Below are 15,835 nucleotides of genomic sequence, written 5' to 3'. Positions count from 1 at the left end.
ATGCAGGAGCAACGGTACCACACTGGAGACTGGGCCTGGTTTGCATAGTCTGCACGTTTAATCACTTTAAAACCTCTAACATTATCTCATGTCCATTAAATAGAACCAGCAATGCTGGGCCTGTTTAAATTACAAGAAAAAAATCACTGTGCACCAACCCAGCATCTTACAAAACCAGCCGGGCTGGCCACGAGGGCAGGGGGATGGGAGAGGAGGGGGCACCCCTGGGCAGATGGCTGGGTACCAGGAATGGCTAGGGTAGAAAAGAAAAGGGGACTCCCAGATGGGAGGGGACTGATTGTCCTAATGGGAGGGGTGCAAAAGGCACGTCAGAAGAGGAGGTTTGAGGGGGGCATGACAGGTCAGTGCTTTCTCCACCAGGGCACAGTGTTGGGGGGGCTCAGTGCCACCACCTGCCCACCTCTGGCACTTGGAGAGCCAGTGACCTATGAACCCCCGGCATGGCGAGCCCCACTTGAAACACAGATGTCAGCCTGCCCCTCCCACTGGGACCCCCTTTCCTTGAGCCCGCCTGGCTGGCCCGCCTCTTCAGGACTTGGGGCTCAACTATTCCTCACTCCTCAGCAACATGCTGCAGCCCCCACACCTCAGGGCCAGGGCAGCCAGGGAGGAGCAGGGCGGACGGTGGGTGTGAGAACGTGGGTAGTCCAGCTGCTACCCCCATTAAAAATACAAAAACAAATCATCAGCATCTAAAGTGAAATAATCACAAAGTGAAAATATATCCTCAAACAGCCCCTGAGATCCCCACAGGGGAAAGCAGCATCGGGTGGGAGGCCAGAGAGGCCGGCTGGGCCAGCGCCCCTCCCCACCACCCACCCAGGGGCTCCAGGTCTGTGAGTGCCAACAGCCCAGGCAGCCCGGGCTCAGAAAACAGGGACTTGGGCCCTGACGGGAGAGGCGGGTGCAAGAGAGGGGAGGGTGGTCAGGACACCAGCACAGGGTTCAGCCAGAGCTTCGGCCTTGGCTGCGCCAGCCTGGTGGCCAGTGGTGGTGGAGGCACGGAGCACAGGGGTGGGTCATGGGACACAGGCCACAGGCCACATGCCACGTGCACACCTGGAGGCACCTGCCTTGCCTTGGTCCCTTCCTATGATGGCTGCTGCCGCCAAGACTCACCAGAGCTGGGGGACAGGGTGGAGGGTGCAGAAGCCCTTGGAGAGGTGGCCTCCTCCCTCAGATATCTCCTAGGCCAGCCCCCGACTGCCTGGATGGGACCATTATTGCTTTAGAGGGACAGGGAAGGGCAAGAGCTGCGGCCTGGGTCAGGAATCCCAACAAGCAAGGGCTGCCCCTCTTCACTCCGCAGGAACTCTGGCTGGGGCCGGGGCCGGGGCAAGCTGCCCTAAAGGTTTCACTCCTTTCTCCACATGGAAGGGGTGCTGAGGGTGGGGTACGGCCCTCCCCACGCCCCAGCTGGTCCTGGGCCCACCTCAGGTGGCCAGGTGGGCCCGAGGGTAGGATGGGAAGCAGTCTCCACCCCTCTTGCCTCCCAGCTGGGGTCCAAACCCAGTCCCAAGATAAAAAAATACTTTGGTGAATTAAAAAGTGCCCAAGGAGGGGATTGGCTTGAGGGGGTGGGCAGTGGGCTCATCAGAGGGCGCTCTGGTCTTTGATAAAGGCGGTCCTCTCGCCCCGGCCCTCGTCCTCTTCTGAGTCAGACGGGCACTCCTCCTGCCAGGCTTCAGGGGGCAGCCCCTTGTAGGAGATGAGGCCACGGTCCATGGTGTACACCTTCACCCCCCGAAAACTAAAGCCAGAGCGCAGCTGCAGGACCAGGAAGACAGTGACGAAGACCAGCACGATGAAGGCGCAGCTGAGGCCGGCCACCACCTCAGGCAGGTGTGAGGGCAGCAGCCCTGCCCGCAGCCGTTGCCCCGCCTCCACCTCCGGGGGCAGCCGAGGTGGCTGCTGCTGTGGCGGGGACTCTCGGCTGCTCTGGCTTTGCCGGGAGCAAGTCTGCTCCACAGGGTCCAAGGAGGCGTGGCTGGGGCAGCTGAGGCAGTCTGTCAGGGCCGGCCCCTGGCATGTGGCACATGAGGCGTGGCAGGGGGCGCAGACGCTGGCCCGGATGGTCTCCACGTCATTCTCGGTGCTATAGTGCGTATCGAGGACTTGGGGGGCGAACCCTGGAGGGCAGTGCTGGACACAGCTCTTCTGGTGCAGGGAGAAGCCTTCCTCGCACACTGCCGGCGTGGGAGAGAGGGCAAGTGTGTGTCAGCTAAACAGACTGTAGCCCCAGGACCACAGCAGCCCCAAGCCAAGTCACCACATCCCCAGGATCCTCCAGCCCCAGGACTGTGGTCATCCCAAGAGCCCCAGGGGCCCTAGGTCTCTTGAGACTTTTTTCTGTTAGAGCTGGGCTTCAGGACAGGCACCCGCCTTACCCCCAGACTCAGGCCCCCAAAGCCCAACAGCACCCACTACTGACCCACACAGGCCTGACTGGACGTGAGGGTCTTGCAGCCACTGCTTTCTGGAGGTACGGGCAGCCCCTCAGGGGCGGTGCCATAGAGTACGAGGGTGAACTTGGTCAGCGTCCCTGTTCCAGAGCGGGGAGGAGGCAAGAGTTAAGACAGTGCTGGCACCACACCCAGTGCTCGAGATCCTGCCAGCCCTCCACCTCGTACCCCTACCCCTCAAGTGCCCCCAGTACCATAGTTGTTGGCTTCGCTGGTGTTTTCAATCTCTAGGACCCACTCGCCAGAGGGATCCTCATCCCAGGAATGAGTTGTCATGAAGGCCCAGTCATTAAACCCATCTGCGGAGTAGTCATGTGGCCTGGGGAGGGGAGTGCACACAGCCCTGAGGCCTCTGCGGGACCCCAAGCCAGGGACATCTAACCCACAGCACATGGGCCACACACCCTTCCCCCACGCAGACCAACCCCATGGGGCCAGAAGTGCCTGCTGGCTTGGCTGTTTCTCAGTGAGCCAGACGTGCTCAACTGGGGGATTCTAGAAAGGTACACAGGCACCGCACAAGGTGGGGCACACTACTGACATTAAATGGTTGCAAGCCAGGGATTCCTGCAACATGGGACAGTCCCACAGGACAAAATTGTCCCTCCCAAAATGCCAAGAGTGCCCCACTGAGTAGCACTCAGTGCCCCCTGGGCCGTGTGAGCGAGCAAAGGCAAGCACGCGGGCTGTGAGAGGCGGCGGCGCTGGGCAGGGCGGGCAGGGACAGAGCAAGCACCTGGCTGCCAGCAGGGTGGAGCGGGTGCCCATGGGGCTGACCAGGTGGATGGCCAGGTCGCCACGGCGATTATAGGACAGGGTGAGCCGCGCCTGAGCGTGCTCCAGCCGAGTGATGTGGTTGGGCTCGCCCAGGCACGCGGTCACGGTCTTCCGCACCTCGAGCCGTTTCCCGATGTCTCTGTGCAGGAGAGCACCATGATGGTCAGCCTGGCCCAGAGGGACCAGCGGGCACCCCCTGCGACTCTCAGGTCCCACTGGCCCCCTCCCAGCCTGGGTCCAGCCCTCACTTGGGCTCGGTGAGGATGTCGATGATGCACTTCCGCTGGGGGGCCACTGTGGTCCAATTCTGGGCCAGGGCCACCATGGCGCCTGCGTCCAAAAGCCCGTAGCCATATGAGTGGCTCACTGTGGGGACAGGGAAGGTAGGGTCAGCTGTCAGGCACAGAGTGCCTTCTACCTAACTCCACATCCAGCCTGCCGGGCCAGCCTGCCCTCACCTTTCCGGCCCACACCATTGGTGGCCCAGTCGTTGGCATTGAGGTGGGCTGGCTTCGAGGTCTGTACCACCAGGTGTTGCATGTCCCGCCATGTGAGGTTCTTACTGCAAAGAAGGAAGGGAGAGGCTGGGGATCAGTCTTTTTTGGGAGCAGCTCTCCAGCTGCCCTAAGGGCTGCCCTACAGAGAGTGCTGGTAGGGACAGGGTTGCCGCTGGCCCCCACCCACTTACTTGGCCTCCAGGGTGAGAGCAATGATGCCGGCTGCTAAGGGGGCAGAGGCTGAGGTGCCCGTGTGAGACTCCGTGCACTTCTGCCGCAAGTCAGTCGTCACCTGCCAGGAAGAGAATCATATTGGGGCCTGTGATGGGTGGAGGGGGCTAGAGGAGCCACCTGCCTACCCTCCCTCTGCATACAGGCCCTGGGCACCACAGATGGTATGGGGAGCCAGGGCCAAGAACCCCAGGTCCCAGCTGCTGCCTTGCTAACTTGCCGTGGACATGCTAATGACGAGCCCCTCCTGGGCCTCATTTTCCAAAGGAATAAGGGGGTTCAACTAGAGGGTGGAGATGAATAAGAACAAAGTATGTTTTTAGAGAGAGTCTAGGCTTTTCAAAGTCTTCAGAGATGGCTCCATGGCCTCCAAGAACCTACAGAGCCCCAGAGTTCATGTTGCATGATGCCTGAGCCACTATCACCCAGCCACATGGGGGTGGAGGCAGACAGCCTCCAAAAGAGGGTGCTGGACAGAGCCAGCCAGCAGCCCCATCTCCCCAGCCCCCACCCCCAGGTAAGACTCACGATCTGCTTCTCATTCTGGTTGCCACTGCTGTAGGTCGTGGCCAGTGTGGACGAGCAGGCCTCGCTGTACCACGGCACGTTGCCAAACTGCGTGGCGCTGCTGATGGACAGCGTGTAGATACTGTTGGTGTAGCCGTCGCAGTTGCAGCTGTCATGTTCCCGGCCCCCGTTCCCCGAGGCCCAGACAAAGATGGAGCCCAGCCCCCCTCGGCCCTGTGGACAGAGTGGGCTGGGGTCATTCAAGATTGGGACTTGAGGGAGGGCTGGCAGGAGGACACTGCTGGAAAACTGGGAAGGCTGGAGCCTCATTCTCTGGGAACCTCCTGTCCCCTGTGAGATCCCTGGTGGATCAAGTATGTATCCAAATATGTCTATCTAGGCACACAAAAAATCAGACCAAGAGGCCAAGGCGGGAGGATCGCTTGAGGCCAGGAGTTTGAGACCAGCCTGGGTAACACAGCAAGACCTCATTTCTAAAAAAAATGTGTTTTTTAATTAGGCAAGTCCAAGTGGTATATGCACTCTACTCTTCTTCTGTCCCTTAATGTTTCAATAAACATGCTTTGTGTAAAGTTAAACATGAGAATAAATAAAACAAACCAAAAAACACAAGATAGGTACGGAAGACAGCACCCAACCTGCCCGCAGGGGCTGGACAGATCCCCACCTCACCTGGCTAACCCCACGGAAGAAGGCCTCCTCGGCGAGGCGGGCTGGCCCATCCACTGTCTTGCCGTCATCCTCGGGGCCCCAGCTGGCACTGTAGATGTGGATGTGGTTGGGGTTCAGGCCCAGCGAGCGTGCCTCCACTGCATCTGTCACCTCGCCATCCAGCATGCGCACCCCTGGCCGTGAAGGGGGGGCACGAAGAGGGATGCTGCATGGGTCCAGCTGTCAGGGCCCCCACCCCAAGGAGCACACCCAGCCCTGCACCCCAGGGGATGAGTAAGGGAAGGGTGGAGGCTGATGCTGAGAAACCCTGAACCCCCAACTACCTGTTTGCCTCTGCCTTTCAAAGACAAGACCCAGAGAAGGAAAAAGAGAACACCTCCTGCCCCCAACCACACATTCAGGACTAGAAAGAGTCTCTGGTTCCCAAAAGAGCCTGGTGATCAAGGATCTGCCACGTGAGGACTCACAGTGGGTCGTGAGGATTTCAGGAGACTCCTGCTAGGAAACCCTCACTCCACAGGGGTCCAGCTCTTTCAGTCTTTGACCCTTTGGGAACCCTCCATGGAACAGCCACGTGATCAAAGGATCCACAGTGGGAAAGTGGCAGGCATTGGCCAGATGGGAAGTGGGCGGGAAAAATTCCACTGAAGGGCCCTCCTGAAGACAGGGTGGCCCAGGCCCACACTCACCTCCAATGCGGGCGTTGTAGGCCACACCTACACCACAGACACCGTTGTTGGCCACCGCAGCCACTTCCCCCGCACACCGTGTGCCGTGCCTGCCAGGGCCAAGCACGTAGCATGAGTAGAACAAATGGGGTGAACAGGGCCCGGCAGATGTGGCCTGAGGAGCACGAGGGATCCGCACATCCGACACCCATCATCCCCTGAGTACCCAGCCCCCATCTCCCACACTCCACTGGGCCTGTGGCCATCTCCACTCTGACCGAGCCCTCCCTCAGAGCCCCAGGTGGGCCAGGACTGTGGGAAAAGCCTCAGCCTTTTAGGCAAGGCACATCTCACCCAGGCTCAGCCCTGTTCCTTAGTGGAAGAAAGGAGAAGGGAGGCAGAGACCGGGGCCTGCCACTTCTTACCTGTTGTCATTCATCTGTGTGTACCGAGGCTGGGGGTCAGGGTCCTGGTCATTGACATCAAAACTGGCCCCAGGATCCTAAGAAGGATTTGGCCACCATCAGGAGAAGGCTGACCTCACTGATAGAACAAGACAGCCTCTAGACACACCTCAGCAGGGATCACGGCCTCCCTCCCCGACTTCCTCACATAATTGCCTGCCAAGTCCGGGTGGTTCTTCTCGATGCCATCGTCCAGAATGGAGACCACAATGCCGTGCCCTGTGTAGCCCTGCGCCCAGGCCGCCTTCACATTCAGGTCCCGCTGAGTGACACCAGACTGTGGAGACACCCACCCCATCACTTATGAGACATGATTGGTTTTGTGAGGCTAGGAGCATCTTGAAGAATCCCTTTGCCCCCGTAAAACCTCCTCCTGTACCATCCCTGCTCCTGAAAGGCCGCCACTGGCTGTCTGGACTCCATGGGAATGTAGAGGACTCTGGGAGGGCCACCCCCAGGCTTGCTTATTAGGATGGGCCAAGGAGAGACTGCCCAGCAGGAGGAAAGGAAACGAATCAGAGGAGGCCTCGAAGACAGCCTCCTCCATCCAAGAGCTCATAGTGGGTGGATGGTGCATCTGGGGAGGAGGTCCCAGCAGCGAAGAAGGCCACGTACCAGGTACCACTGCTGAGGAAACTTGGGGTCTGTGGGCTCCTGGTACACGTCCCGTTTAGTCCGTCGCTTTGCCACCTGCTGTTCCAGCCACTGTACCTGTGGGGGAGTGAGGGAGAGATGGTGTGGGTGGAGCAGGAGGCGAGAGGGGCTCCTGAGAGCAGGAGGGGGAGGGTGGCAGCAGGAGGGGGCTGGGGCCACACTCACTTGAGGCTCCCTCTGCAGCCGGCTGTGCCGCGGGCGGTGAGGCGACAGGGACCGCTTCGTCACTCCTCGATGCCAGAAGTGGTAATAGTCCCCGAAGATCTGCAATAGAGCAGGGAGACTGAGCTGGGCTTTCCATCTGTCAGTCCCCGGGAGGCGGGGGACGGGGGTGGACAACGGCTTCATGGGAGGCTCGCCACGGTCGGGGGTGCGGGGCATCTGCTCCCTGTCCGGGACCCAGCAAAATGCGGGGACCATGAGGACTCACTCTCACTGGGATATGCTGCTTGCCTGAACCACCTGTGCTTTGCTCATGGCCACCCAGAACATGCCGGCTACCCAGATGCCCCTGAGCAAACAAGGCCAACAGCTCCTGCTCCCAGAATCCCTGTCTTCTCTGGTCCCACCCCCTGGCAGTGTCCTGTGGGGGAACACCTACCTGGCCCAGGTTGAGGAACCCATGCTTCCGTGCCACACTGTTGGCCACCGCTGGGCCTCCAGGGATGCGCACAGCCCACGTGTTGGTGAAGACCTTCTGGCCCTGAGCATCAGCTGCTAGCAGGACCAAGGTTCCTGTTGCTGCTACCACCCATAGCAACCAGGGCCTCAGCTCCATGGGGGGGACAGGTGGCTGGGACCCTGGAGCGCCCGTCTCCTTGGCCTGGTCACAGGGCCTCGGCTCCCAGGTGCCTGCTCACTGCCTGTGGCCCGGGGCTGACTGGTGGGGGCATGGGGCCGAGACGGGCAGGGCTCGGGAGGGTGAAGAGTGCCGACCCTGAGAGGAACAAGAGGGGAAAAGGGGAGAGAGGGTCAGTTCCTCCCCTGCTACGCACTAAAGCTGCCCTGCCCACCCCAAGTTTCAATTGGGGCCTGAAATGAGATCTGGGGGAGAAGGGTAAAAAAATTAGTCCTCCCCAGAAGAAATCTAGCCCCCAAGGCCAGCCACATAGATGGACAGATGGATGCCCTCACAATCCCCCCCAATCCTTTCTCCATGCAAGAATATAAGAAATGTAACAGAAGGGCCAGGCATGGTGGCTCACTTCTGTCATCCAGCACTTTGGGAGGCTGAGGCGGGTGGATCACCTGAGGTCAGGAGTTCGAGGCCAGCCTGGCCAACATGGTGCAACCTCGTCTCTACTAAAAATACAAACATGAGCCAAGTGTGGTGGCGGGTGCTTGTAGTGCCAGCGACTTGGGAGGCTGAGGCACAAGAATTGCTTGAGCCCAGGAGGTGGAGGTTGCAGTGAGCCAAGATCGCGCCACTGCATTCCCAGTCTGTGCGACAGAACGATACTCCCTCTCAAAAAAAAAAAAAAAAAAAAAAGTGTAACAGAAGAAGCAGGATGAAGACTATCAAGCCCTGAGTCACTCAAAATCAGAAACAACAAATGAATAAATGTTCACCATGATCAAGGTAAAGAAGATGCATTATAAAGCAGTATGTACACATAATCCCATTTTATTTTTTAAAAACTATTTATACATGTATATTTATACAAACTAAAGCGAAATCTGGAAGGATACACACGCTAAAAAATGTTAACGGTGGTTCTCTCAAGATGGTGAGAATTACAAGTAATTGTTATTTTCTTCTTTGTGTCACTGTATTCTCCAAATCACCTAGGTATGTTTTACATGGGAATAAGATGTTGGCTTTTCAAGGTTCTTAAATGAATGGCATCTATACAACTCACTAGGGTTTCCTAGTTCAGCAAAGCAGATTCAGCCATAGGGAGTTATTCGCAAAGCCCCACAGCTCCTAGGAAGAAAATGGGTGACCCTAAATGGGATGGTGCTTTTAGGGGCCATGTCCTGAGGGGGTGCGGGGGTGGAGATCACAGAGGCTTCACCTCCCTCTATGGCTGAGATGGCCGCTATCAGCAAAGTCAGGGCCCCAGACTCGTTTTTACAGTTTCCTGGGGAACGCTGGGGCCGCCAAGCCCTGCCCTGCCTGGGCCTGGAGGCCCCCAGCTGCCCCCTTGCTTGCTCCACGCCCACCAGCCTTGCGTAATCCGAGCCCAGGCAGCCAGGGCAAACACTGGCTGCTGAGCCAGGAGCGCCAAGGTGAGACTGAATCAATAGTCCGAGTGTTGTTTTTCCTCCTTCAGCAAACAGACGGCGGGACCTCTCTCTGCCCGGGGCCACATAACTGTCCCCACATAGTGCCCCTGACTAGCCAGAAGCCAAGGCCCTGGAGGAAGGGGGGGAAGCTAGGGGAGGTCCCAGCAGTGCTGCTGGGGGTATCCCATATCAGTGCCAAGCTCCCTGAGCAGCAGCAGGGCCCTGGATGCCCTTAGCACTTCCATAGCCAAGGCCACTCTGCCGGATACCAAAAGGAAGGCACCCCAGCTCACGTAGGCCCTGGGGAGCTAGAGAGGCAGGCTCACCACAGAAAACTCCTTGCTTCTCCAGAAGCTGCCCTTAGACACAACCGGCCTCCCTGACTGCTGCAGTCCCACCCTGCAGGCTGGGGGTACTCCACACACAATTCCTGGAGTATTTTCAGTTTGGACCAAAATAACCTGACAGCTGATGGCAGGAGACATCTACAATACAGCTCCTGCACATCCCTGCGGGCAGACTCCACAGGACTTCCAGGGCAGGCCTCGGAACCACAGCCCCATGGTGCTTTGGGTGGTTGGTTCCAGAAAGCTGGCCTGATCAATGGCTGGGCAGCTAGGCGCCCCAGCCCTAGGGGATGGAAGGACCGCCCCCCCCACCCCAAGTCCCTCATTTAACAGAGGATGTGGGACCCTGGGAGCAGAGCCATATAGGAACGGGGCCTCATCTCTCTCCTCTCTCTTGCTGCCACAACAGCTGCCTCTTGGGTCCAGATGTCATGCAACCACCCCCCTGCCCCCACCACCACCAACCACCGTGCTGTGAGTCCTGCTGGAGCCCCCAAATCGAGGCTGGGTTCATCTGGGTCTAGCCCAGATTCCAGCACACTGTAGATGGAGCCGCAGCTGTTTGGCGTTAAAAGTGATTAACCAACTATTTAATTACCTTGCAGCACTCGGAAAGAAAGCAGGCGTCAGGCGCAACTGAACAGTCCCCCCAAAGAAAGAGGGCCAGCCTCCCTCTATCCAACAACCCCAGCCATGGTGAGGGGTGGGGATGGCTTCCAGAAAATGAGACCCCCACAGACGGCTCTGCCACAGCATGTGGGACAAGGGAGGATCCCCGAAAAGAGTAAGAACTGAAAACAATGAATGAATGGGTTTCTCCCCACCCCCATCCCAGACTCTGACTCACCCTCTAGTCCCAGTTTGTCTCAAACCTGGAGGCTTGCTGTATTTCTCATGGTCTTGTTTCACATGGGACTCTGTTCCAGGCTGTGGCCAGAGAGAGCTGTGGGTGCTCTTCCTGGCTGTGTTCTTGGGCAAAGCCCTTTTCTCCAGCACCAGAACCTCCTGACACAGAGAGCCACTCTGGGCCACTCAAATTGCGCCTCACCCCAGGACCGACTGCTGTTTCCCAGACACTGGGGGTCTGGCTCTGACACAGCCACAGAGCAGGCCACGGGAGGGCCACTCGGACACCCAATCAGTCTCTCCCTCTAGCAGAGACACCACGCGGGGTCCTGTTACCAGCCCTGGGAGGCTCCCGTGAATTTATCGCTCCCAGTCCCTGCCCACTATTTGCTGGATGATCTTAACAAGTCACTTCCTCTCCCTGGGCCTCAGTTTCCTTGGTGGTAAAAACTGCTGGACCAGCGGCTTTCAAACTTTTTAAAAAGCCACAGAATCCTTTTTAAAAATCAAATGCTCCGTAGAAGCCCAATATAGGAAATAGTAAAACGAGGGCTGCCCTGCTTGAGAAGAGGTCAGGCTTGGCTAATCTCCTATGCTGTGTCCACACCTGCTCAGCACCCGCCCTCACCAGGCCATATCACCCGGGTTCTCCTCGCACTTCCCAAGTCAGAATAGGAATCCCAACACTCTCCGGTGGATGAGGGTCTGCACCCCAGGGGCCAGGGGGTAGAGGATGATGGGAAAGCGGGTTCTGACCAGACAAGTGACTGCCGTCAGACCTGTCTGGCAAGCAGGCCGCCCCTTGGTCCAGCCACACAGCGGGGGCACAGGGGCCTCGGCCAGGCCGCGGCAGAAGGCAGCCCAGGGACCTACCTGCGCCGGCCGCCGGCGCCCGCGGATCCCGCACCCGAGTCCTGGCCGCACAGGTGTGCGGGCGGGGGCGAGGCCCAAGCGAAGGAGCCCCCGCCTCGCCCCCGGCCGCTCCTCCCCTCCCCGGGCGGAACGCAGGCCCTCCTCGGCCGCGGAGTGGGCGAGCCGGCGGCAGCCCCGGTGGCGGCGGGGAGGCTGGAGCACCCGGCGCCTGCGGAATTTTCTCCCCATCCCGCCCCCAGCAGGGGCCCCGCAGGCGCTTCCTGAGGTCAGAGGGCTCGCCCTGGCCCCACGCGGAAAAGTACCAGCCACGGCCGGGGGGCCGAGACGGGCCCGGCGCGCTCAGGTGGGCTGCGGAGCGCCCTGTCTGCTCCCGGCAGCTCCACCCTCGGGGCCGGCCCCGGGGCCAGTTCCGGAAAGCCGGCGGGCAGCCGGGCCCCGGGGGACCCGGGTCAGGGCTGCACCGGCGCCAGTGCCCCGACCCTCCCCGGCCCGAGCACCCGGGCCGCGGAGCCCGCTCCTGGGGCAGAGCTCCACGGCCCGGCCCGGCCGGCTCCCCTCGGGCCCGGCTCCCAGACGCGCTTGCCTTCCCCGGGCCCCGGGCCCCGCGCCCTCGCTACTTACCCTGGGGAGCCCTGGCGGGGAAACTTTTCCAGGCGACCGCCGCGGCGGCTCGGGCGCCCCTCGGCCGCCCATGCCGCCCGGGCCCGACTGCGGGCCCGCGTTCCCAGCGCCGTGGGCCCCAGCGCGTCCGGCCCCGCGCGGCGGCCCTGCGGGGCCTTCTGGGGCGCCCGCTGCCTCCGGCTCCTGGTAGGGGCAGGTAGGAAGTGGGGCAGGCGATCCCAAAGTCCTCGCGGCCGCCCGGCGCGTCCCTCAGGCCCCGCTGCCGTGCCCCCGCCCCCGGGCTCGGCTCTTCGCCCCGCGAGCTCCCCGGGAAGACGGCCGCGGAGACCCGAACTCGGAACCAAAGGGAAAGGCTTGGGGGAGGCACTCCGAGCCCTGCCTCAGCCGGACTCTTGGGGGACTGGCCCTCTCCGTCCCCCGCTTCCCCACTCCTGGGCGACGAATTTGAGCCTGACCGGGTTAAGTGCCCAGGGACGGCGGACCTGGGGTCCTCCACTCCCAGGTCGAGGGAGGACTGCACGGCGGCAGGACCAGCCTCCTCTTGGCCTACTGTTAGAGGAGTCACGACTTCGTCTGCATTTGTATAGACAGGTGGATATATGAGCAGAAGTAGCCCACCTCCTTTTAATATTTTTAGCTTTTTTTTCTTTTTAGACACCAACCGCTTGCCAGGCACCAGGCCAGTCACTTTACATTATCTCCTTCTTATGTACATGATTTAATCCACATAATCCTTTCAGGCTGAGATTATTAATCCCATTTTACAGATAAGGAAACTGAGGCGCACAACGTTTAAATAATTTGCGCAAAGTCCCACAACCAGCAGACCTCAGATCCTGCAAGAGACTGGGGTGTTTGGCAGAGCCTGAATCCAAGCTACTTGCAATATACCAGCCGGAGCCTCTCCCTCCCTGGGCCCTAGAAAACGTTTGTGCTACTTGGCTGAGGCCGACGCTGCTTGAGCTGAGAAAGAAAAGAAGGAAAATGTGGCCAGGAGCTTCCCAGGCTGGGTTATTCCAAGGTCGCAGAGTAGCCTGTGCCCATCTCTTCTCGCTCCCTGTGAGATAACCTGGCTGCACAGGATCAGCCTGTGGCCTCCTTAACACAGGTTCCCGGGTAATGGGAAAAAAAAAATCCACTGAGTGTTTTCTATGAGCCAGGCACCATTGAGAGCTCTTTTCCTGTGTCAACCCGTTTTATCCTCACCACATGCCCCATGAGGTGGGTACAGTACATTTTCCTTTAAGTACCTTTGATGTATCACTGTCTGCATTTTATAGAGGAGGAAACTGAGGCCCAGAGAGGTTAAATCATGATAATTCTTAAGGCAACTGGTGAAAAATCAATCAGCAAACCGGTTCAAATCCCTGGGGCACTATTTTTTGCTGGGACACCTTAGACAAGTTAATTTCTCAGGGACTTCCTCAATTTACCCCTCTATAAAATGGAGATAATATTTAGTGAATGGGATCAGGTACGATTCGGGCACCTTTACAAACACTGCAAGAACTGGAAACTGGAGGAACAATGCTGGGTCCTCAAAGTTGAGCGGGAAGATAAGTCCAGTTGGCCTTGTCCCAAAGTGGGGACTTCCCCTCCGCCAAGGAACTAAGACTTGTAGGGGCCACACTGGGTAGCGCCAGCCACAGTTGGGAGAACAATACTCCAGCAGTCAGACTGAGGCAGGAAGTGACTCACGCTTCTTCCTTAGGCTGTGAGCAAGAGAACTCCATTGAGGGGAAACAGGGACAGGGCTGGCCCCACCTACCCACTTGTCCTCAGGCCTAGAAGAAAGGTCAGCCCAGAAAAATAGCAATACTTGCTGCTTCAGGTGCCCCACCCATCCTGGAGACTGGCCCCAGGGGAGCCCGCAGTGGGTCTTTGGAGGGGGAGGGGCTAGCCTAGGCTCAGATGACTGCCACCCAGGCAGAGGCGGTGGGAAGTGGAGCTTCCCAGTTTCTTCCAGCCAGCTTGCCTCTTCAATCTGCATAAGGCAAAATTCTTTAAAGTGGGTTCTCAGAGGTGCCTCCCTGAGAGGGAGGAATGAGGACAGGATTGGGCAGTTGAGCACCTCTCTCTGCTTCACCCAGAGTGTCTCACATTTTAGGGTTTCACATGAGATTGTATTTTACAACAATTCTGCTGCTAAAAAGAATTTGAAAGCCACTCTCTGTGAGACTTCTCTGGAAAAAAATCCCATTTGACCACAACTGGTGACTTCTGCCTTTATCTCATTGCAACAAGTCCTGTGGGCAGGTATTGTTCTCTTTATCACTCTCAACTGGCCCTGGAGCCCAGGTCTCCTGACCTGGGGCCCTAGGGGCCCAAGGTCCTCTGGATCCCACCTTACCAGTTTTACACAGCAGTTAGCAGGACTTGGGCATGTGACAGAAGTCTGGAGATGAGTGAGAGGAGCAGGGCCTGATGGGTAAGTGGGGGCTGTAAAGGGGCTCCATTTTCCCAGCAGGGCTCTGGGAGGAAGAGTCCAGCTAGGCCTCTCTTTATCCTTGATTTGGGGCTAATCCAGAGAGGCTCCTGAGAATCACATAGTCCTAAATCCACCCAGTCATCCTGACTCCAAGCACTCCTGTTGTCTCCTTGGGGTGCTCTGGGAGTCTTCTCTGAAATCTCTGGTCCACCTCAGGCACAGCAAATAAAGCCTTCGGCAGCAGCACCCACACCTAGTTGTAAGCAGAATGTCTACACAACATTCAGACGTGCATAGAAGGGTGCACAACAAAATTCCATTGGTGTTCTCTCCGAATGAAAGGGTCACATTTGCGATCTTTGTTTTCTTCTTTTTGCCTACCTGCATTTTTCAGGAATGTCTACAAGAACTCCTAAAATAATTAAACCTTTAAGTCAATGCAAAATCGAATAAAGCATGTCCATACTTCACCATCCAGCTCCAGAGCACCTGGGATTCATCCTGGCCGCTGCTGCTTCCCCGCCACTCACTGCAGCTGCAACAGTCAGGCTCCTATCCCTTCACAGGGCGGGGCCCTTCCAGTTCTGGCTAAACCACTTTGGGAAAACCTTCTTTATATGACAGGCAAACAGGGTGTCTGTGGGTGGGGGGAGGAGCTAAAAGTGATGTGGTGGTGACATATCTGGTCGCACTGGAACTGGATCCTAACATGGCCAGCCAGCCCTTCTCATTTTCCTCATTTATTGGGGTGGGTCTGCACTTACCTTCTGCCTGGCTTTGCTGCATCCCAGCCACTGGCTGACTTAATGACTTCCTTCCGCCAGCTCCAGCTCCTTGTGTTCTGCCTTGCCTTCCATGGCCAGCCAGTGCTGCCACAATTATGTACCTAATAAATGCTTTGGGTGCAGTCTCGCCTGGCAGACATTCATTGAGCAGCTGCTGAACGCTGGGCTCTGGTGCCCCATAGCTGGGTCCCTTAGAGCTTGTCCATAGGAAGCCAGAGACCACCTCTCTAGTAGGGTTGCATGGAGGTACCTGGGACACACCAGGGTCTTCCTCAGTCTGCGACCTCCCTGGCCTTCCAGCTTCAACAAGCCTGCTGCCCATCCTTCTCTCTCTCGATTCAGAAATGTGAATCACTCAATCCTCATAGTTTTTTTTGTTTGTTTGTTTTATGGGTTTGTTTTTTTTTTTTCTAGACAAGAGTCTCGCTCTGTTGCCCAGGCTGGAATGCAATGGCCTGATCACAGCTCACTGCAACCTCTGCCTTCTGGGTTCAGGCGATTCTCATGCTTCAGCCTCCCAAGTAGCTGGGATTACAGGCTTACGCCACTCGTATTTTTTTTTTTTTTTTTTGTATTTTTAGTAGAGATGGGGTTTTGCCATGTTGGCCAGGCTGGTCTCGCACTCCTGACCTTAAGTGATACACCCACCTCGGCCTCCCTAAGTGCTGGGATTATTAGGCGTGAGCCACCACGCCCGGTCCCCTTGTTGAGTTTTCAATCAGTTTGTCATCCTGA

The 15,835-nt window shown here is 58.0% G+C and overlaps 1 protein-coding gene across 8 annotated transcripts, besides 9 other annotated features; it reads right to left on the bottom strand.

Annotated features, from left to right (window-relative positions):
* On the bottom strand, positions 36–14,905 carry FURIN (furin, paired basic amino acid cleaving enzyme). Of its 8 annotated transcripts, none has more exons than NR_168464.1 (16): positions 11,888–11,953; positions 7,576–7,911; positions 7,140–7,238; positions 6,936–7,031; positions 6,469–6,597; positions 6,282–6,358; positions 5,878–5,966; positions 5,189–5,361; positions 4,517–4,729; positions 3,949–4,049; positions 3,719–3,822; positions 3,509–3,626; positions 3,220–3,397; positions 2,678–2,802; positions 2,453–2,563; positions 36–2,207 (listed from the first exon to the last, which is right to left on the bottom strand). NR_168464.1 is itself a non-coding variant. In NM_002569.4 (16 exons), the coding sequence occupies exons 2-16, from the start codon at positions 7,750–7,752 to the stop codon at positions 1,615–1,617; spliced, it is 2,385 nt and encodes a 794-aa protein (NP_002560.1). In that variant the 5' UTR covers positions 7,753–7,911; positions 14,782–14,905; the 3' UTR covers positions 36–1,614. The 8 variants fall into 8 exon arrangements, 7 of the variants coding, with proteins under 7 accessions (NP_002560.1, NP_001369551.1, NP_001369548.1 ...); NM_002569.4 differs by lacking the exon at positions 11,888–11,953 and adding an exon at positions 14,782–14,905 and having other exon boundaries at positions 3,220–3,399; NM_001382622.1 differs by lacking the exon at positions 11,888–11,953 and adding an exon at positions 14,782–14,905 and having other exon boundaries at positions 2,457–2,563; positions 3,220–3,399.
* Positions 10,674–10,723: an enhancer, noted in NCBI's record as "active region_10097". NCBI's record gives its function as "activates an Ori minimal core promoter by ATAC-STARR-seq in GM12878 lymphoblastoid cells {active_cell/tissue: GM12878}" and the evidence as "EXISTENCE:reporter gene assay evidence [ECO:0000049][PMID:35858748]".
* Positions 10,984–11,173: an enhancer, noted in NCBI's record as "active region_10096". NCBI's record gives its function as "activates an Ori minimal core promoter by ATAC-STARR-seq in GM12878 lymphoblastoid cells {active_cell/tissue: GM12878}" and the evidence as "EXISTENCE:reporter gene assay evidence [ECO:0000049][PMID:35858748]".
* Positions 11,274–11,913: a silencer, noted in NCBI's record as "silent region_6829". NCBI's record gives its function as "represses an Ori minimal core promoter by ATAC-STARR-seq in GM12878 lymphoblastoid cells {active_cell/tissue: GM12878}" and the evidence as "EXISTENCE:reporter gene assay evidence [ECO:0000049][PMID:35858748]".
* Positions 11,954–12,163: a silencer, noted in NCBI's record as "silent region_6828". NCBI's record gives its function as "represses an Ori minimal core promoter by ATAC-STARR-seq in GM12878 lymphoblastoid cells {active_cell/tissue: GM12878}" and the evidence as "EXISTENCE:reporter gene assay evidence [ECO:0000049][PMID:35858748]".
* Positions 13,174–14,373: an enhancer, noted in NCBI's record as "CDK7 strongly-dependent group 2 enhancer chr15:91412350-91413549 (GRCh37/hg19 assembly coordinates)". NCBI's record gives its function as "activates an origin of replication core promoter dependent on BRD2, BRD4, P300/CBP, MED14 and CDK7 cofactors, with strong dependence on CDK7, by STARR-seq in HCT116 cells {active_cell/tissue: HCT116}" and the evidence as "EXISTENCE:reporter gene assay evidence [ECO:0000049][PMID:35650434]".
* Positions 13,440–13,734: an enhancer, noted in NCBI's record as "tiled region #3826; HepG2 Activating DNase matched - State 20:ReprD, and K562 Activating DNase unmatched - State 1:Tss". NCBI's record gives its function as "activates a minimal TATA promoter and a strong SV40 promoter by Sharpr-MPRA in HepG2 and K562 cells {active_cell/tissue: HepG2 | K562}" and the evidence as "EXISTENCE:reporter gene assay evidence [ECO:0000049][PMID:27701403]".
* Positions 13,520–13,814: an enhancer, noted in NCBI's record as "tiled region #8172; HepG2 Activating non-DNase unmatched - State 20:ReprD, and K562 Activating DNase unmatched - State 1:Tss". NCBI's record gives its function as "activates a minimal TATA promoter and a strong SV40 promoter by Sharpr-MPRA in HepG2 and K562 cells {active_cell/tissue: HepG2 | K562}" and the evidence as "EXISTENCE:reporter gene assay evidence [ECO:0000049][PMID:27701403]".
* Positions 13,672–13,781: an enhancer, noted in NCBI's record as "active region_10095". NCBI's record gives its function as "activates an Ori minimal core promoter by ATAC-STARR-seq in GM12878 lymphoblastoid cells {active_cell/tissue: GM12878}" and the evidence as "EXISTENCE:reporter gene assay evidence [ECO:0000049][PMID:35858748]".
* Positions 13,882–13,931: an enhancer, noted in NCBI's record as "active region_10094". NCBI's record gives its function as "activates an Ori minimal core promoter by ATAC-STARR-seq in GM12878 lymphoblastoid cells {active_cell/tissue: GM12878}" and the evidence as "EXISTENCE:reporter gene assay evidence [ECO:0000049][PMID:35858748]".
* Positions 14,906–15,835: the final 930 nt, after the last annotated feature.

This window comes from Homo sapiens, chromosome 15 (genome assembly GCF_000001405.40).
Source record: "Homo sapiens chromosome 15, GRCh38.p14 Primary Assembly".
Classification (NCBI taxonomy): Eukaryota; Metazoa; Chordata; class Mammalia; order Primates; family Hominidae; genus Homo; species Homo sapiens.
Note: the sequence above shows the minus strand (reverse complement) of the source record. Positions and strands in the feature narration are given on the sequence as shown.

Bases quoted from the DNA above. Each gene is read 5' to 3' on its own strand.
- FURIN (NM_002569.4), bottom strand. From the start codon at position 7,752: ATGGAGCTGAGGCCCTGGTTGCTATGGGTGGTAGCAGCAACAGGAACC. The intron at 7,239-7,575 runs GTAGGTGTTCCC...GCTCTATTGCAG, and splicing joins GGTTCCTCAACCTGGGCCAG to ATCTTCGGGGACTATTACCA. The intron at 2,564-2,677 runs GTACTGGGGGCA...GCTCTGGAACAG, and splicing joins CAGCGAAGCCAACAACTATG to GGACGCTGACCAAGTTCACC.